Source organism: Homo sapiens, chromosome 19 (genome assembly GCF_000001405.40).
Source record: "Homo sapiens chromosome 19, GRCh38.p14 Primary Assembly".
In the NCBI taxonomy this organism is placed as follows: Eukaryota; Metazoa; Chordata; class Mammalia; order Primates; family Hominidae; genus Homo; species Homo sapiens.
In genome coordinates, this window is record NC_000019.10 from 15350576 (window position 1) to 15353384 (window position 2809).

A 2809-nucleotide genomic window follows, 5' to 3' on the forward strand; every position below is an offset into this window, starting at 1 on the left:
GACCTCAGGTGATCCACCCATCTCGCCCTCCCAAAGTAAATGGGATTACAGGCGTGAGCTACCGCTCCTGGCCTGTCCAGGTGATTTTTATATTTTTAGTAGAGATGAAGTTTCACCATGTTGGCCAGGCTGGTCTCTAACTCCTGGCCTTACCTGATCTGCCTGCCTCAGCCTCCCAAAGTGTTGGGATTATGGGCATGAACCGCTGCCTGACTTTAAATCTTACTTCAAAGCACAGTGACATAAGGATAGATACGTAGAATAGAATAGAGCTGACAGTCCAGAAGTAAACCATGTAGTTATATGGTCAACTAACTTTTGACAAGGGTATCAAGACCATTCATTGGGGGAAAGAACAGTCTCTTCAACAAATACTGTTGAGACAACGCGATAAGCCACATGGAGTGAAGTTGGACCCTTACCTTACACGTATATAAAAATTAACTTGGCCAGAGGCAGTGGCTCACGCCTATAATCCCAGCACTTTGGAAGGCCGAGGCAGGAGGATCACTTGACATCAGGAGTTCGAGACCAACTTGGCCAACATGATGAAACCCTGTCTCTACTAAAAATACAAAAAGTAGCCAGGCGTGGTGGCACAATTTTGTAATCCCAGCTACTCGGGAGGCTAAGGCGTGAGAATCACTTGAACTGAGGAGGCAGAGGCTGCAGTGAGCTGAGACTGCGCCACTGCACTCCAGCCTGGACAAGAGAATGAGATTCCATCTCAAAAAAAAAAAAAAAAAAAAAAAATTGGCCGGGCGCGGTGGCTCACGCTTGTAATCCCAGCACTTTGGGGAGGCCGAGGCAGGCGGATCACGAGGTCAGGAGATCAAGACCATCCTGGCTAACAAGGCGAAACTCCGTCTCTACTAAAAAATACAAAAAAATTAGCTGGGCGTGGTGGCGGGCGCCAGTAGTCCCAGCTACTCGGGAGGCTGAGGCAGGAGAATGGTGTGAACCCGGGAGGCTGAGCTTGCAGTGAGCTGAGATCGCGCCACTGCACTCCAGCCTGGGCGACAGAGCCAGACTCCGTCTCAAAACAAAACAAAACAAAACAAACAAAAATTAAAATGAACTACAGACCTAAATATGAGCTAACATTATTAAATTATTGGAATAAAACATAGAAGTAATTTTTTTTTTTTGAGATGGAGTCTCACTCTTGTTGCCCAGGATGGAGTGCAATGGCATGACCTCGGCTCACTGCAACCTCCGCCTCCTGGGTTCAAGAAATTCTCCTGCCTCAGCCTTCTGAGTAGCTGGGATTACAGGCACCTGCCACCACACCTGGCTAATTTTTTGTATTTTTAGTAGAGACGGGGTTTCACCATGTTGGCTAGGCTGGTCTCTAACTCCTGACATCAGGTGATCCACCCGCCTCAGCCTCCCAAAGTGCTGGGATTACAGGCATGAGCCACAACGCCCGGCTTACAAGACTTTTTTTTCCAGATGGAATCTCGCTCTGTTGGCTCAGGCTGGAGTGCAGTGGCGTGATCTCAGCTCACTTCAACCTCCACCTCCCAGGTTCAAGCGATTCTCCTGCCTCAGCTTCCCGAGTAGCTGGGATTACAGGCATCTGCCACCATGCCTAGCTAATTTTTATATTTTTAGTAGAGACGGGGTTTCACCATGCTGGCCAGGCTGGTCTTGAACTCCTGACCTCAGACCATCCACCTGCCTTGGCCTCCCAAAGTGCTGGGACTACAGGCATGAGCCACCATGCCTGGCTACAAGGCTTTTAAAAATTAGCTGGGCATAGTGGTGCACTCCTGTAGTCCCAGCTAATCAAGAGGCTGAAGTGGGAGGATCACTTGAAACCAGGATTTGGAGGCCGCAGTGAGCTGCTGTGGTGCCACCGCACTCCAGCCTGGGCAACAGTGAGATCCTGCCTGTAAAACCAACAACAACAACAACAGAATTATGTAGTTTCACCAAGAGGTGGAAGGTGGAAGAGCCTCACTGACATTCAGACCAATTTAATGACAGGTCTTGGATTGACATATACATATTTTGAAACGAAATTTTGCTCGTCGCTCAGGCTGGAGTGCAGTGATGCAGTATCAGCTCACTGCAACCTCTGCCTCCAGAGTTCAAGTGATTTTCCTGCCTCAGCCTCCAGAGTAGCTGGGACTACAGGCACCTGCCACCACGCCTGGCTAATTGTGTATTTTTAGTAGAGATGGGGTTTCACCACGTTGGCCAAGATGCTCTCGATCTCCTGACCTTGTGATCTGCCCGCCTTGGCCTCCCAAAGTCCTGGGATTACAGGCATGAGCCACCACACCTGGCCTGATATTTTATTTTTTTGAGACAAATTCTTGCTCTGTTGCCCAGGCTGGAGTGCAGTAGCGCAACCTCGACTCACTGCAGCCTCTGCCTCCCTGGTTCAAGCGATTCTTCTGCCTCAGCTTCCCCAGCAGCTGGGATTACAGGTGTGTGCCACCACACCCAGCTAATTTTTGTATTTTTGGTATAGACAGGGTTTTGCCATGTTGGCCAGGCTGGTCTTGAACTCCCGACCTCTACTGATCCACCTGCGTTGGTCTCCTAAAGTGCCAGGAATACAGGTGTGAGCCACCATGCCTGGCCGGGTCTTGGATTTTTATAAGAAGAAAAAAAAGGTGTGGGGTAGGGGAGAGCCAGGTGCAGTAGCTCATGCCTGTAATCCTGGGAGGCAGAGGTTGCAGTAAGCCAAGATCACGCCACTGCACTCCAGCCTGGGCAACAGAGTAAGACTGTCTCAAAAAAAAAAAAAAAAAGAAAAAAAAAAGAAAATTAAGGAAATAAAGCAGTTCCACTAGTGATG

The 2809-nt window shown here is 49.1% G+C and overlaps 1 long non-coding RNA gene across 1 annotated transcript in view; it reads left to right on the forward strand.

Annotated features, from left to right (window-relative positions):
* LOC124904643 (uncharacterized) overlaps nucleotides 1-2809 on the forward strand; it is a 29522-nt gene that overhangs the window by 17963 nt on the left and 8750 nt on the right. The gene's annotated exons all lie outside the window — the stretch shown is intronic.